The 15,879-nt window shown below is 38.1% G+C and overlaps 1 protein-coding gene across 8 annotated transcripts in view; it reads left to right on the top strand.

Annotated features, from left to right (window-relative positions):
• NRG4 (neuregulin 4) overlaps positions 1-15,879 on the top strand; it is a 124,848-nt gene that overhangs the window by 17,315 nt on the left and 91,654 nt on the right. For 5 of the 8 annotated variants that reach the window (XR_007064433.1, XR_007064432.1, XM_047432183.1 and 2 more), the window contains one exon: positions 6,935-6,982. The exons of the other annotated variants lie outside the window; for them this stretch is intronic. The gene's annotated coding sequence lies outside the window, so the exon portion shown is untranslated. The remainder of the gene's footprint in view (positions 1-6,934; positions 6,983-15,879) is intronic. 8 annotated transcript variants of the gene reach the window in all.

Below are 15,879 nucleotides of genomic sequence, written 5' to 3'. Positions count from 1 at the left end.
TGGTTTGCTAGTATTGTGTTGAAGATTTTTGCATGAGTGTTAACCCGGGCTATTGGCCTGTAGCTTTTTTTTTAAATGTGTTTTTATCTGGTTTTGATATCAGGGTAATACTGACCTTGTAGAATGAGCTTGGAACTATTCCCTCCTCCTCTCTTTTTCAGAATAGTTTGAGTAGTATTGGTATTAGTTCTTTTTTAAATGTTTGATAAAATTCAGCAGTGAAGTCAGAGGTCTCCGGCTTTCCTTTGTTGGGAGACTTCTTAATATGGCTTCTATCTTATTAGTTGTTATTAGTCTGTTTAGGTTTTGGATTTCTTCATGGTTGAATCTTGGTAGGTTGTATATGTCTAGGAATTTATCCATTTCTTCTTGGCTTTTCAATTTATTGGCATGTAGTTGCTCACAGTAGCCTCTAATGATCCTTTGAATTTCTGTAGTATTGGTTGTAATGTCTCCTTTTTCACCTCTGATTTTATTTATTTGTATCTCCTCTCCTTTTTTCTTAGTCTGGCTAAAGATTTATCAATTTTGTTTATCTTTTCAAAAAACCAACTTTTTATTTCATTGATCTTTTGTATTTTATTCATTTCAATTTTATCTCTGCTCTTTATTCTTCTACTGATTTTTGGGTTTGGTTTGCTTTTGCTTTTCTATTTCTTTTAGATGCTTCATTAGGTTGTTTATTTGATGTTTTCCTACTTTTTAAATGTAGGTGCTTATAGCTATAAACTTCTCTCTCGGTATTGCTTTTGCTGTATCCCATAGGTTTTGGCATGTTGTGTTTCCATTATCATTTGTTTCAGTAAATGTTTCAGTTTTCTTTTTAATTTCTTCATTGACCCACTGGTCATTCTGGAGCATATTGTTTAATTTCCATGTGTTTGTATAGTTTCCAAAGTCCCTCTCATTATTGATTTCTAGTTTTATTCCATTGTGGTCAGAAAAGATGTTTGATATTATTTCAATTTTTAAAAATACTTTAAGACTTGTTTTTTGACCTAACATATGGTCTATCCTTGAGAATGACCCATGTGCTGAGGAAAAGATTGTGTATTCTGTAGCTGTTGGATTAAATGTTCTATAAGTATCTATTTGGTCCATGTGGTCTATAGTACAGATTAAGTCTGATGTTTCTTTGTTTATTTTCTGTCTGGAAGATCTGTCCAACGCTTAAAGTGGGGTGTTGAATCTCCAGCTCTTATCATATTGGAGTTTATCTCTTTCTTTAGCTCAAATATTTGCTCTATATATCTGGGTGCTCTAGTGTTGGGTGCATATATATTTAAAATTGTTATATTCTCTTGCTGAATTGAACCCTTCATTATTATATAATGACCTTATTTGTCTCTTCTTAAAAGTTTTTGTCATGGAATCTATTTTGTCTGATATAAGTATAGCACTCCTCTTTTTTGGTTTCTGTTGGTATGAAATATCTTTTTCTGTCTCTTTATTTTCAATCTATGTGTATCATTATAGGTAAAGTGTGTTTCTTGCAGGCAACAGATCATTGGGTCTTGTGGGTTTTTTTTGGGTTTTTTGTTTGTTTTCTTATCCATTCAGCCACCCTGTCTTTTGATTGAAGAGTCTAGTCCACTTACATTAAAGGTGATTATTGATAGGCAAGGACTTACTCTTGCCGTTTTATTTGTTTTCTGGTTGTTTTATGGTCTTCTCTTCCTTTTTTCCTTCCTTCCTGTTTTCCTTTTAGTGAAGGTGATTTTCTCTGGTGGTATAATTTAATTTCTTTTTATTTTTTGTGTATCTGTTGTATGTTTTTTGATTTGAGATTACCATAAAGCTTGCAAATACTATCTTATAACCCATTATTTTAAGATGATTACAACTTAACACTGATTGCATAGACAAACTAACAAGCAAAAAGAAAACTAATAAAAACTTTAACTTCATCCTCTTGCTTTTTAACTTTGTGTTTCTATTTATATCTTACAGTTCTGTCTATGTTTTGAAAAGTTGTTGTAGTTATTATTATCATTATTATTTGAGACAGAGTCTCACTTTGTCACCCAGGCTAGAGTGCAGTGGCACAATCTCAGCTCACTTCAACCTCTGCCTCCTGGGTTCAAACGATTTTCCTGCCTTAGCCTCCCTAGTAGCTGAGATTACAGGCATGCATGACCACAGCTGGCTGATTTTTATATTTTTAGTAGAGACAGGGCTTCACCATGTTGGCCAGGCTGGTCTCGAACTCCTGACCTCAAATGATCTGTGATCTGCCTGCCTTGGCTTCCCAAGGTGCTGGGATAACAGGTGTGAACCACCATGCCAGGCCCATAGTTATTATTTTTGATTGGTTCATCATTTAATCTTTCTATTTAGGATAACAGTTGTTTACACACCACAGTTCAGTGTTATAAAAGTCTCTGTTTTCTGTGTACTTACTATTGATAGTGAGTTTTGTACTTTCAGATGATGTCTTACTGCTCATTGACATCCTTTTCTTTTTCTTTTCTTCATCCTTACTTCTGATAGAAGTACTCCCTTTAGCATTTCTTGTAGGACAGGTCTGATGTTGATGAAATCCCTTAGCTTTTGCTTGTCTGGGAGAATCTTTATTTCTCCTTCATGTTTGAAGGATATTTTTGCTGGATACATTATACTATTCTAGGGTAAACTGTTTTTAACCTTCAGCACTTTAAATAAATCATGCCACTCTCTCCTGCCCTGTAAGTTTTCCACTGAAAAGTCTGCTGCCAGACATATTGGAGGTCCATTGTATGTTATTTGTTTCTTTTCTCTTGCTGCTTTTGGGATCCTTTCTTTATCCTTAACCTTTGGGAGTTTGATTATTAAATTCCTTGAGGTAGTCTTCTTTGGGTTAAATCTGCTTGCCTTCTCTCTCTCTCTCTCTTTTTTTTTATTTGGCGGGGTGGCAGGTACAGAGTCTCACTTTGTTGCCCAGGCTGGGGTGCAGTAGTGCAATCTTGGCTCACCTCAACCTCTGCCTCCGGGTTCAAATGATTCTCATGCCTCAGCCTCTCAAGTAGCTGAGAGCATAGGTGTGTGCCACCACGCCCAGCTAATTTGGGACAGGGTTTCGCCATGTTGGCCAGGCTGGTCTCAAACTCCTGGCCTCAAATGGTCCACCTTTGGGAGGCTTTAGCCTCCCAAAGTGCTGGGATTACAGGTGTTAGCCACCGCACCCAGCCAGCCTTTTTGTACTTGGTTATTAATATCTTTTTCTAGGTTTGTGAATTTCTCTCTTATTATCCCTTTGAATAAAGTTTCTACCCCTCTCTCTACCTTCTCTTTAAGGCCAATAACTCTTAGATTTGCCCTTTTGAGGCTATTTTCTAGATAATGTAGGTGTGCTTCATTCTTTATTTTGCTTTAATCTCTAACTGTATTTTCAAATAGCCTGTCTTCAAGCTCACAAATTCTGTCTTATGCTTGATCAATTCTACTATTAACAGTCTCTGATGCATTATTCAATATGTCAATTGCATTTTTCACCTTCAGAATTTCTACCTATTCTTTTCAATTATTTTAATCTCATTGTTAAATTTATCTGATAGAATTCTGCATTCCTTCTCTGTGTTATCTTGAATTTCTTTGAGTTTCCTTAAAACAGCAATTTTGAATTCTCTGTCTGAAAGATCATGTATTTCTGTTTCTTCAGGATTGGCCTCGCACCTTATTTAGTTCATTTGGTGAGGGTATGTTTTCCTGGATGGTCTTGATGCTTGTGGATATTTGCTGGTGTCTGGGCATTGAAGAGTTAGGTATTCATTGCAGTATTCTCAGTCTAGGCTTGTTTGTATCCACCTGTCTCGGGAAGGTTTTCCAGGTATTCAAAAGGACTTTGAGTGTTGTGATCTAAGATCTAAGCCATGTCTGCATTATGGGGCACCTCAAGCCCAGTAATGCTGTGGTTCTTGCAGACTTGTAGAAGTACCGTCTTGGTGATATTGGATAATTCTGGAAGAATTCTCTGGTTTACCAGGCAGAGATTCTTATTCTCTTCCCTTACTTTCTCCCAAACAAATGGAGTTTCTCTGTGCTGAGCCACCTCTGGCTGGGAGTAGGGTGACACAAACACCCCTATAGCCACCACCAGTGGGACTGTGCTGGGTTAGACCTGAAGCCAGCACAGCACTGGGTCTTGCCCAAGGCCTGCTGTAACCAGTACCTGGCTGCCACTTATGTTCATTCAAAGCCCTAGGGCTCTACAGTCAGCATCTAGTGAAGCCAACCAGGCTTGTGTCCTTCCCTTCAGGGCGGCAAGTTCCTGCAGGCCCTGGGCAGGTCCAGAGATGCCATCTGGGAGCTAAGGACTGGAGTCAAAAACCTTAGAAGTCTTCCTGGTGTTGTATTCCACTGTGGCTGAGTGGGCTTTCAAACCATGAAAAACAGTTCTCACTTTTCCCTCTCCTTTTCACAGGCAGAGGACCCTCACCTTATGGTCACTACCACCTAAGGCCCACAGGGAGTACTGCCAGGCTACCACCAATGTTCACTTAAGGCCTGAGGGCTCTTCAGTTAGCTTGTGGTGAATGCTACCAAGCCTGGGATTCACTCTTCAGGGAAGTGGGGTCCCCTCTGGCCCAGGCCATGTCCAGAAATGCCATCCACGAGCCAAGGCCTGGAATCAGGGACCCCAAGAGCTTGATTGGTGCTATACCACGTTGTGGTAGAGCTTGTACTTAAGATGCAAGACAAAGTCTCCACTTTTTCCTCTGCTTTTCTCAAGCAGAAGAAATCTCTTACCATAGCCACCACAGGTGGGAATGTGCTGGGTCTCACCTGAAGCCAGTGTGTCTCCCAGTCTCACCCAAGGCCCATGCCATACTACCTAAGTATCACTATTGATTATTCAGGGTCTCAAGGGCTCTTTAGCCAGCAGATGATGCATCCTGCCAGGAATAGGTCCTTCCCTTCAAGGAATCAGTTTCCCTGTGGGTCCAGGGTGTGTCTAGAAATGTCATCTGGGGAGCTAGGGCCTGGAATGGGGGCCACAATTCTGTCTAGTATTGTGTCTAGTATTGTATCCGACTGTGGCTGAGCTGGTGTCCAAGGTGCAAGACAAAATTCCTCTTTACTCTTCCCTCTTCTCTCCTCTCAAGCGGAAAGGGAGTATTTGCACTACCTCCTTTTCAACACCAGGCAATACAGCTTGTGGCTCTTTTGTGACTTTTTTGGAGCCACAGCTGTGTTGCCTGGGGTTGGGGGACGGGTAGTGCAAGCACTCCCTTAGGTGCCCTGGCTTGTGTCTCAGTAAGTCTCATGACCGGTAAGTCCACTGGCTCCAAGCCCAGCTCAACACTAAAACTTGCAGTTCTTGGGGCCTAGACTGCCTTTACGGTTTATTTAGGGCCCCAGAGCACTTCAGCCCACAATGAGGAAGCTTGCTGGAACTCAAGTTCCAGCTGCTGGGATGGGTGATTCTCCTCTGGCTAGGGCTTGTCTGAATGCTCCCTCTGTAGATGGGTGTCAGCTAAGTTCAGCCCAGTTTTGCTTTATACTGTGACAGCACTGAGTTCAATGTAAAGTCTCACAGTCTCTGTGCTCTCACTCTCCCCAAGCACACAGATTTCTTCACAACACTTGGCTACTGTGATGGGATAGGGGAGGGGTAGCATCAACAATTCAAGACTCTTTCCTACTCTAAGTTTCTCTTTCAGAACTATGAAGTTAAAATCAGGTGCTGTGAGTGCTCACCTGATATTTGGTTCTTATAAAGGTGCTTTTTTTGTGTGTGTAGATAGTTGTTGAATTTGGTGTTCCTGCAGGGGGGATGATTGGTAGGACCTTCCATTCTGCCATCTTGCTCCATCCCTCGAGATTGCTTTTTTGATTGCTTTTTCAGATTGTTTGCTTTTGGCGTATAGAAATACTATTGATTTTTGTATGTTGATTTTTGTATCCTGCAACTTTACTGAGTTTATTAGCTCAAACAGTTTTTTTTTGGTGGAGTCTTTAGGTTTTTCTGTGTATAAGATCATGTCATCTGCAAATAAGGCTAATTTGACTTCTTCCTTTCCAGTTTGGATTCTCTTTATTTCTTTTTCCTGTCTAATTGCTCCAGCCAGGACTTCCAGTATTATGTCGAATAACAGTAGTGAGAGTGGACATCCTTATCTTGTTCCAGTCCTTAGAGGAAAGGCATTTGATTTTTCCCCATTCAGTAGGAGTTAGGTGGTCATACACTATTTAAGTTTCCCAATTAAGAGTGATGATAATAGCTAGCACTTGTTGAATCCTTCCTATGTTCCAGGCATTTTACATGTATAAATTAATTTGATACTCAGATATCCCTTTGAATGAGGCATTATCATTATGTCCCCTTCTAACTCCGCCCTCATGTATAGATGAAGAAAGTAGACACAATGATTTTTCTCCCAATGTCACACACCCATTATAGGGTGCAACATTCTACTGTGGAATTGGGAATTGGAGTCTAGCCTTCTGGCTCCAGAGCCCATTCTCTGTATACTGTATAGCTACACTACATATATTTATATATATAAAAAACTATGAGTTGAGGGTTGCTGGGAAGTGATGATACTTTGAATGGTTGGTGACTTGAGTATATTTATAGGTGGCACAATTTATGTTAAAGTAGCTTTTGTGAGCTGCTACATGGAATAAAAATTTATTGCTTAAACATTTTACATAAAGTTGTTTATGCCAATATAATCAGTGATGTGAGGAGCTATTGCCTGGAGCAGGCCGGCTGCTGTTATTCAAAAGACCACATCAGGTGGTAGAACCTTAGTGAAATTTTTACCAGGGCCTGACTCAGTCTTTTTGTCTTAGAAACCTAATCTGATCAGTAGTGCCCCAGAGAAGAATAAAGTAGTTTGACAACCTTATAAACCTAATATGTAATGCCAGAATGCAAATTTATTAACATACTAGGAGATAAAACTGTTACATAAACCAGTTGAACCATAATGATCAAGTCATTTTCTTTCAGGTGGTGGACCTAGATGGGAAACCCAAATTATAATCAAGAGATTTCTTGGTGAGCAACAGGCACCTTAAATATTTTTTGTTTTTTCACAACGTTTATCTATTTCAGAAATACCTCAGGTATGTCATCAACAATAGCTGCTATTGGCGTGTACTGTCAGTCTTTAACTTCTAAATAGCCTCCACCCCAGGGCCCGACCACCAGGGGCTCTGCTGCCATAGAAACAGTTGTTAACAAACATGGGTATTTTAGAGAATCTGTAGGTTCAGAATTGAGGAAAGGAAGAGTCCATGAAAAGCAGAGTTGCTAAAGGGTGCTGCTAATTTCAAGGATAGACTCCTAAGTAGGATGGGTTTGCTTGAGTGGGGATTTCTGTACCTAAAATGTATTTCTATAACACTGCCTGAGGGACTTTTTTTTTTCACTTCTGTTACCGAGTCTGAAATTTCACCAAATAGAGTTTGATTTCTTAAAATTATAAATATTCATAAGTGGCAGATATTCTTAGTGGCTTCCATAATACCCATTCCCTATTGCTCACCTTAATTTTGTTAGGGCAGCAATGTGCCCAGCTTGAAATAAAAAATCGAATAGTTGAAACCAGTCATAACAATCCTGTTCTCCTTTGCCAGTGATTAAGAAGGGAAGTCTGCTGAGTTCAGGGAGGGCTTTTGCTTTCCTGATAAAGAGGACAGAGGTGGCTGGTACTTTACTCTTTCTCCTCTCTTTGTGCCTTAAATGGAATCATGAAGCCAGGAGCTATAGCAGGCATCTTGTAACCATGAGATGACAAGCATGAGGCTAAAATATTCTCACAAGCTGTGGACCTTGGAGTAGATGGACAGAAAGAGACTGGGGCATTGTTGAACAGCAGTTCTGGCTTTGGACTACCTACCTCCAGACTTAACAGAGAAAGATGAGAGGAAAGTTATTACCCTTGTTATGTGACCGCAAGGCATTTGATTAACTTGTGCCTGCCGTTCAATGGCAGGCTGGCTCTGTGGAAATGGAGGCTATAATATAAGGAGAAGCAATAGGAAAAATCTGGAATATTGGCATGTATTAATTACTTCTTGTGACTTTTCAGTAGGATCCTATAGAAGGGGGTGAACTCAAATTAGTGCTCCTCAGCATTGAACGCGCAGTGGTGGTGGTGGGGATGCAGTTCGCCATAGAAGTATTCTGCCTTTAGCTCCTGCTCTAAATTGACAAAGAACCTCATAATTTGGAATTTTGCAGGGATTAGTGGTAGTACCTCTCCACCTAAAGCTATTGTTAGAATTGCCTCAAGTCTATTTAAGAGTTCATAGGTCAGCAGCTAAGAGATAAGAATCCCCAGGCCTAAAGATTATTTGGAAGTGTTTTTTTTTTTTTTAGCTATGGTTATTCACACAAGGAGTTGATGTGAAGCAAATAAAACAGAAGTTTTTCCCTCCAAGCAATTGTCATATCCACCACTCTAAGTCAAACCAGTGTGAAGTGGGCTGCAAAAGCTTTGGAGCCCCTGGGAAGGGTGTCTGTTTAGAAACTACCTTAGATGTCGCCAAAGAGGGCAATGACAAAGCAGATGCTCCTGAGACTTATAGCAGGACCTAGCAGATTGACTAACCAGGGAATTTACTTTACTGCCTGCCAAGGAATCTGCTGTTTCTGTCCTTAAGATAATGGTGTGGATTGTGGGCTGTTGACAATGTGTGCTTCCCATTATTCCCTTTTCTGAATGGGAATTTTAATGGGGTTACTCTGTTCTTTCTTTTTCACAGTTATATTAACAAAGGAGGATGGCTTAGAGATAGATATCTTATCTTTTGCCTATTCAGATGGTCAGATAGGAATTGCCGTATTTGCACTTGATATAGCAGATAGAAAATCACCCAGGGATTCTGTTTAAAGCTGTTTGCAGTAATTGGATGAGACAGTAGGGTTGTCTTTCTTGAGGAGAGAATGAGTATGTTCTGTTTAATGCATAGGTGTGAGAAGAAGTGTGTATGTGCATGTTGGGTTGAGGACTGTGACAGACACTATTGGTTATCCAATCCAATATCTATTCCTTATTTTCACCATAAAAATTAGAAAAGTTAAATACTAGATTTTTAAAACTTATTGCTACAGTGGCCATGTAATACAGTTCTAGTCCATGAGTCTGCTGGGGGACTTCACGGAAGGCTTTCCTCTTTTCTGATAAAAGGGTCAGACAGGGCTGGGGTAACCCCTTTTCTGGGTTTGACCTTAGATGTGATGCTTAAAGCTGAAGTGACCATCTTGGAACCATTAGGCAATAAAAATGAGTACAAAAAGTTAACACATTTAGGATGGTGGAGAAAAAATACTGAAAATATTGATGACATCATTGATTAGTGAACCAACTTTAGCTGTTGCTCTGTTCAAGATTTTGTGTCTTGTGAGAAATTTATCCATATTTGTTTATGCTACTGTGAACTGGGTTGACTGTTACAACCTAAAGCTTTCTAAACTGATACATTATAAAAGTCTCTTTTATATGCTACAATATCAGGTACATTTTTGTTTTTAACCATGATGTCCTATTAGTAAATAATGGTTATATGAAGTAAGGGCAAGCCTTATTTGTTTATTTTTTGAAATACAGATGTGATTTCATTATGTTTCCCAGGCTGATCTTGAACTCCTGGCCTCCAGGTATCTTCCTGCCTTGGTCCCCTAATGTGCTAGGATGACAGGCGTGAGCCACCACAACTGGCCGGGAAAAGCTTTTGGGGAAAAACAAACAAACTAAAACAAAACAAAACAAAAAAACTTTTACAGTAGGCTGATTCAATTCACATGTAAAATTGCATTTTTGAGGTGTTACTATTGACAGACATCTTCTTGATACATAGCCCAGTTTACATTTTACTTTTAGGAGTAGAATGTCAGCATAGCTAAGACTTGCACTTTAATATAATTAGGGAATATCTTCTGAAAATTGGTTTCCCATGTAGTAAGAAATGCTACAAACTTTTACAACCAAATAAAAGTCTTCAGAAAGAAATTGCTGAGTCCAGTATGATAGGTTCAATATAGTCATGGCTTTTGAATAAGATAGTATTTTAGTTCTGCATCACTGACTGCTGGGAAATGTTTATTACTTCCAAAGTGATATTTTACTCTAACTGCCTTATATCAGAACATCTACTTTTACTTTCAGTTGTCCTTTTAAATGTTTTTGTTCATCATTTCAGAAAATTTTTTGTTCCAATTGTTGACTCAATCATATGAGGTTTAAGATTTTACTTTTCTATTTTTGCCTTTCTAAAAATTAATTCATGGTAATAGCCATTTGTGCCAGCTTTTTATATCACAAGGAGATGCTTAAACAACAACCAAAGGAAAATATGTGGCAAAGAAGAATAGATATTTTTCTGTGGATGTAGTTTATAGAAAAATTATATTTGGCCTTCAAAGAAAGTTTTTAAGATTTTATGTTTGTTATTTATTCACATACTGACAAGTTGTGATCAAAATAATTTTCCTAGAAAAGTAGTCTGAAGTTTTTTCATTTTGTTTATGCTAAATTCTAAAACCAAAAGCTTTTAAAAATAATCGGAAAGGTCCTGACACTGAATATTCTGTTATTTATTAAATGCCTAAGACATGATTTGGGGGGTATTGAGATCTAATGGTCTCTACTGTGGTTTTCTTGGTGGCTTTGTACACAATATTTTGCCATTCTTTTCTGATGTACCCTGAGTCAGGCCTCACAAAAACTAACAATATTGTAAGACTTGCAAAGTCAGCATCTAAGGTGATTCTTAAATGTATGATAAGGGTATTTTCAACCAATTGACTGGAAAATCTTTTTGGTCTATTTCTACTGATATTTGAACACTCTATTGAAGTGGTTTGAAACAAACCTTAAAGCTTGAGCTTTTTCTTGATTTAAATTACTCTTATTTTTAAGAATGTATTATTAGCATGGTGGCTCTGTGCCTAGCATATAAAGTCTTATTAGTGGGTAATTCTCCTCTCTACTTCTTGTTTACCCTGTGTGCTGGCTTTTCTTGAGTAATGTATGCCATACATATGCTCATTTTCTTTCACCATTGAAAGCATTTATCTGTGAATAATTACAGCTTTATTCTTCCTTTCCAATTTTTAGGGGTTTTATTTATTTATTTATTTGAGACAGAGTCTCACTCGGTCACCCAGGCTGGAATGCAATGGCACGATCTTGGCTCACTGCAACCTCTGCCTCCTGGGTTCAAGTGATTCTTCTGCCTCAGCCTCCCAAGTAGCTGGGATTACAGGCATGTGCCACCACATCCAGCTAATCTTTGGAGAGACGGAATCTTGCTCTGTCGCCCAGGCTGGAGTGCTGGAGTGCAGTGGTGCAATCTTGGCTGACTGCAACCTCCACCTCCTGAGTTCAAGCAATTCTCCTGCCTCAGCCTCCCGAGTAGCTGGGACTACAGGAGCATGCTGCCATGCCTGGCTGATTTATTTTGTATTTTAATAGAGATGGGGTTTCACCATGTTGCCCAGGTTGGTCTTGAACTCCCGACCTCAGATGATCCACCTGCCTCGGCCTCCCAAACTGCTGGGATTATAGGCATGAGCCACTGTGCCCAGCCCCAATTTTTATGTTTTATATTTCTTTTTATTGTCCTAATGTGCTAGTTAAGACCTCCAGTATAGTGGTGATAGAAATAGTGAAATTGGACTTCTTTGCCTTGTTTCTAATCTTAGGGGAAAGGCTTTCAATATTTCAACGTGAAATATGATGCTAATTGTAGGTTTTTAGTAGATACTCTTTATAAGCTTAAGCAATTTCCCCTAGTTTGTGGAGATTTTTTTTCCCTCATGAATGGATATTGAAGTTTTATCAGATGCCTTTTTTGAATCTATTGAGGTGACAATATAATCTTTGTCTTTTATTTTGTTAATGTGGTGAATTGTATTAATTCACACATATTAGACCAACCATGCTGATAAACCCTACTGGTCATGATATATTATCCTTTTACTATATCACTAGATTTGATTTGCTAATTTTTTAAGGATTTTTTTGGTCTATGTTCATGAGGATTAATAGTAATTTTCTTTTCTTTAATTTCTTGTCAAGTTTTGGCATCAAGGTTATGTTGGCTTCAGAAAAATGAGTTGGGAAATGTTCATTCTTCAGTATCTAAAAGATTGTGTATAATGTTATCTCTTTTTCCTGAAATGTTTGGTGGAATTCACCAGTGAAGCCATCCAGGCATAGTGTTTCCTTTGTGGAAAGATTTTAAATTAGAGATTCAAATTTGTTTATTTTTGCTTTGTTACTGTGCCTTTGAGGTGTTATTCATAAAATCTTTTCCCAGACCAGTGTCCTAAAGTCTTTCCCCTATGTTGCCTTGCAGTAGTTTCATAGATTGAGGTTTTTCATTTAGATTGTTAATCCATTTTGAGTTGCTTTTTTTATAAGGTTAGAGGGTGGGGGACTAGTTTCATCCTTCTGCATATTGCTATCTAGTTTTCCCAGCACTATTTATTGGAGAGATTGTCCTTTCCCCAATGAGAGTCCTTGATGCCTTTGTGAAAAATCAGGTGGCTGTAGAAGCATAGGTTCTTTAATTCTGGGTTCTGTATTCTGTTCCATTGGTCTATGTGTCTGTTTTTATGCCAGAACCATGCTGTTTTGGTTACTACAGTTTTGTAGTATATTTTGAAGTTGTAGCATGATGGCTGCAGCTTTGTTTTTGTTTGTTTGTTTGTTTGTTTGTTGTTGTTGTTTTTGAGACAGAGTCTCACTCTGTTGCCTAGGCTGGAGTGCAGTGGTGTGATCTTGGCTCATTGCAACCTCCGCCTCCTGGGTTCAAGCAATTCTCCTGCCTCAGCCTCCTGAGTAGCTGGGACTACAAGGTGTATGCCACCACACCTGGCTAATTTTTTGTATTTTTAGTAGAAGCGGGGTTTCACCGTGTTAGCCAGGATGGTCTTGATCTCCTGACCTTGTGATCCACCCGCCTTGGCCTCCCAAAGTGCTGGGATTACAGACATGAGCCACCATGCCTGGCCTGCAGCTTTGTTCTTTTTGCTCAGGATTGCTTTATCTGTTTTGAGTCTTTTAGGATTTCTTTTGCTATTTATGTGAAGAATGTAATTGGTATTTTGATAGGGATTGCATTGAATCTGTAGGTTTCCTTGGGTAGTATGATTATTTTAAACAATGTTAAACCTTCTGATCCATGAGCATATCTTCCCATTTGTTTGTGTCCTCTTCAATTTATTTCATCAGCATTTTATAGTTTTCATTGTAGGGATCCTTTACTTCTTTGGTTAAATTTATTCCTAGGTATTTTATGTTTTTGTAGTTATTGTAAATGGAATTGTCTTGATTCCTTTTTCAGTTTAGTTAATCATCCATGTACAGAAATACTGCTGATGTTTATATGTCGATGTTTGTATTCTGCAACTTTACTGAATTCATTTATTAGTTTTAAGAGTTTTTTGGTAGAGTCTTTAGGTTTTCCTATATAGAAGATCATGTCATCTGCAAACAGGAACAGTTTGATTTCCTCCTTTCTAATTTGGATGCCCTTTATTTCTTTCTCTTGTCTAATTGCTGTACATAGATAGCACTTCCAGTACTATGTTGAATAACAGTGGTGAGAGTGGGCATCTTTGTCTTCTTCCAGTCCATCTGGTATGATGTTAGCTGTGGGTTTATTATATATGGCCTTTATTTTGTTAAGGTATTTTCCTTCTATACCTAATTTCATGAGAGTTTTTAATTATGAAGGGATGTTGAATTTTATCAAATGCTCTTTTCTGCACCTGTTGACATGATCGTATGGTTTTTCTCCTTCATTCTGTTGATTATAATGTATCATATTGATTGATTTGCATATGTTGAACCATACTTGCATTCCTGACATAAATCCCACTTGATCAGGTGTATTATCTTTTTTATGTATTTTGGATTTGGCTTGCTAGTATTTTGTTGAGGAATTTTACATCTATGTTCATTGGAGGATTTATCCTGTAGTTTCTCTTTCTGTTGTGTTCTTGTCTGGTTTTGCTATCACAGTTATGTGGGATATCACAGTTATGATGTGCTATCACAGTTTTTTTTTTTTTTTTTTTTTTTTGGAGGAGGAGTCTCACTCTGCCACCCAGGCTGGAGTGCAGTGGCACATCTCAGTTCACTGCAACCTACCTTCCCCTCCCGGGTTCAGGCAATTCTCCTGCCTCAGCCTCCCAAGTAGCTGGGATTACAGGTGCAGGCCATCGTGCCTGGCTAATGTGTGTATTTTTAATAGAGAGGGGAATTCACTACATTGGCCAGGCTGGTCTCAAACTCCTGGCCTTAAGTGATCCACCCACCTCAACCTCCCAAAGTGCTGGGATTACAGGCGTGAGCCACCACACCCAGCTGGAATCACTTTTTTTTTTTTTTAAACAGTTTGAGAAGAATTACTTTTAATTCTTCTTTAAAGGTTCATTACAGTTCAATGGTGAAGTCATCTGGTTCTAGATTTTTCTGTCAGGAGACTGTTTTATTACTGCTTTACTTTTATTACTTGTTATTGGTCTGTTTAGGTTTTCCATTTCTTCTTGGTTCCATCTTGGTAGGTTGTATATATCCAAGACCTCATCTATTTCCTCTAGGTTTTCAAATTTATTGGCATGTAGTTGTTCATGATCCTTTGTATTTCTGTGGTATCTGTTTTGATGTCTCATTTTTCATTTCTGATTTTTTTTAATTTGGGTTTTCTTTTTTCTTAGTTTAGCTACTGATTTGTCAATTTTGTTTATCTTTTCAAATAACCAATTTTCATTTCATTGGTCTTTTGTATTTTTTCTCTCAATTTTATTTATTTCTGCTCTGATCTTTATTTCTTCTACTAATTTTGAGTTTGATTTTTTTCTTATTTTTTTAGTTCCTTGAGATGCATCATTAAATTGTTTATTTGAAATCTTTCTAGTTTTTTGTGTAGACATTTATTACTATAAACTTGCCCCTTAATACTGCTTTTGCTGTGTCCCATAGGTTTTAGTATGTTGTGTTTCTATTTACATTTGTCTCATGGGACTTTCTGATTTCCTTATTTTCTTTTTTAATCCACTGGTCGTTCAGCAGGGTGGTGTTTAATTTCCATGTATTTGTATAGTTTTGAATGTTTCTCTTATTGATTTGAAGTTTTATCCATTGTGGTAAAATAAGTTACTTGATATTTCAATTTTTTTAAAAATTTGAGACTTGTTTTGTGTCCTAATATGTTGTCAGTTTTGGAGAATGTTCCATGTGCTGATGAAAAAAATCAGTTGTTGGGTGAAACGTTCTGAAAATTATGTCCGTTTAGCCTATGGTGCAGTTTAAATCCAGTGTGTCTTTGTTGATTTTCTGGCTAGATGACCTGTTTAATGCTGAGAGTGGGTGTTGATGTCCCCAACTATTATTGTATTGAAGTCTGTCTCTCCCTTAAATCTAATAATATTTGCTTTATATATCTGGGTGCTCTGGTGCTTGGTGCATATATATATATATATATATTTGACTGTTATATTCTCTTGCTGAATGGATCCATTGAGGATTATATGTTTCCTTTTTCTCTTTGTACAGCTTGCTTTATATATCTAGGTGCTTTGGTGCTGGGTGCATATATATATTTACGACTGTTATATTCTCTTGCTGAATGGATCCATTGATGATTATATAATGTCTTTCTTTTTCTCTTTGTACAGCTTTTGACTTGAAATCTGTTTTGTCTAATATAGATATTCCTGCTTGTTTTTGGTTTTTGTTTATGGAATGTCTTTTTCCATCCCTTCACTTTCAGTCTATGTGAGTCTTTATGGATAAAGGGAGTTTCTTATAGGCAGTATATAGTTGGTTCTTGTTTTTATTTTATTTTATTTTATTTTATTTTTGAGATGGAGTCCCGCTCTGTCCCTCAGGCTGGAGTACAGTGGCACAATCTCAGCTCACTGCAAGCTCTGCCTCC

Source organism: Homo sapiens, chromosome 15 (genome assembly GCF_000001405.40).
Source record: "Homo sapiens chromosome 15, GRCh38.p14 Primary Assembly".
Taxonomy (NCBI): domain Eukaryota; kingdom Metazoa; phylum Chordata; class Mammalia; order Primates; family Hominidae; genus Homo; species Homo sapiens.
Note: the sequence above shows the minus strand (reverse complement) of the source record. Positions and strands in the feature narration are given on the sequence as shown.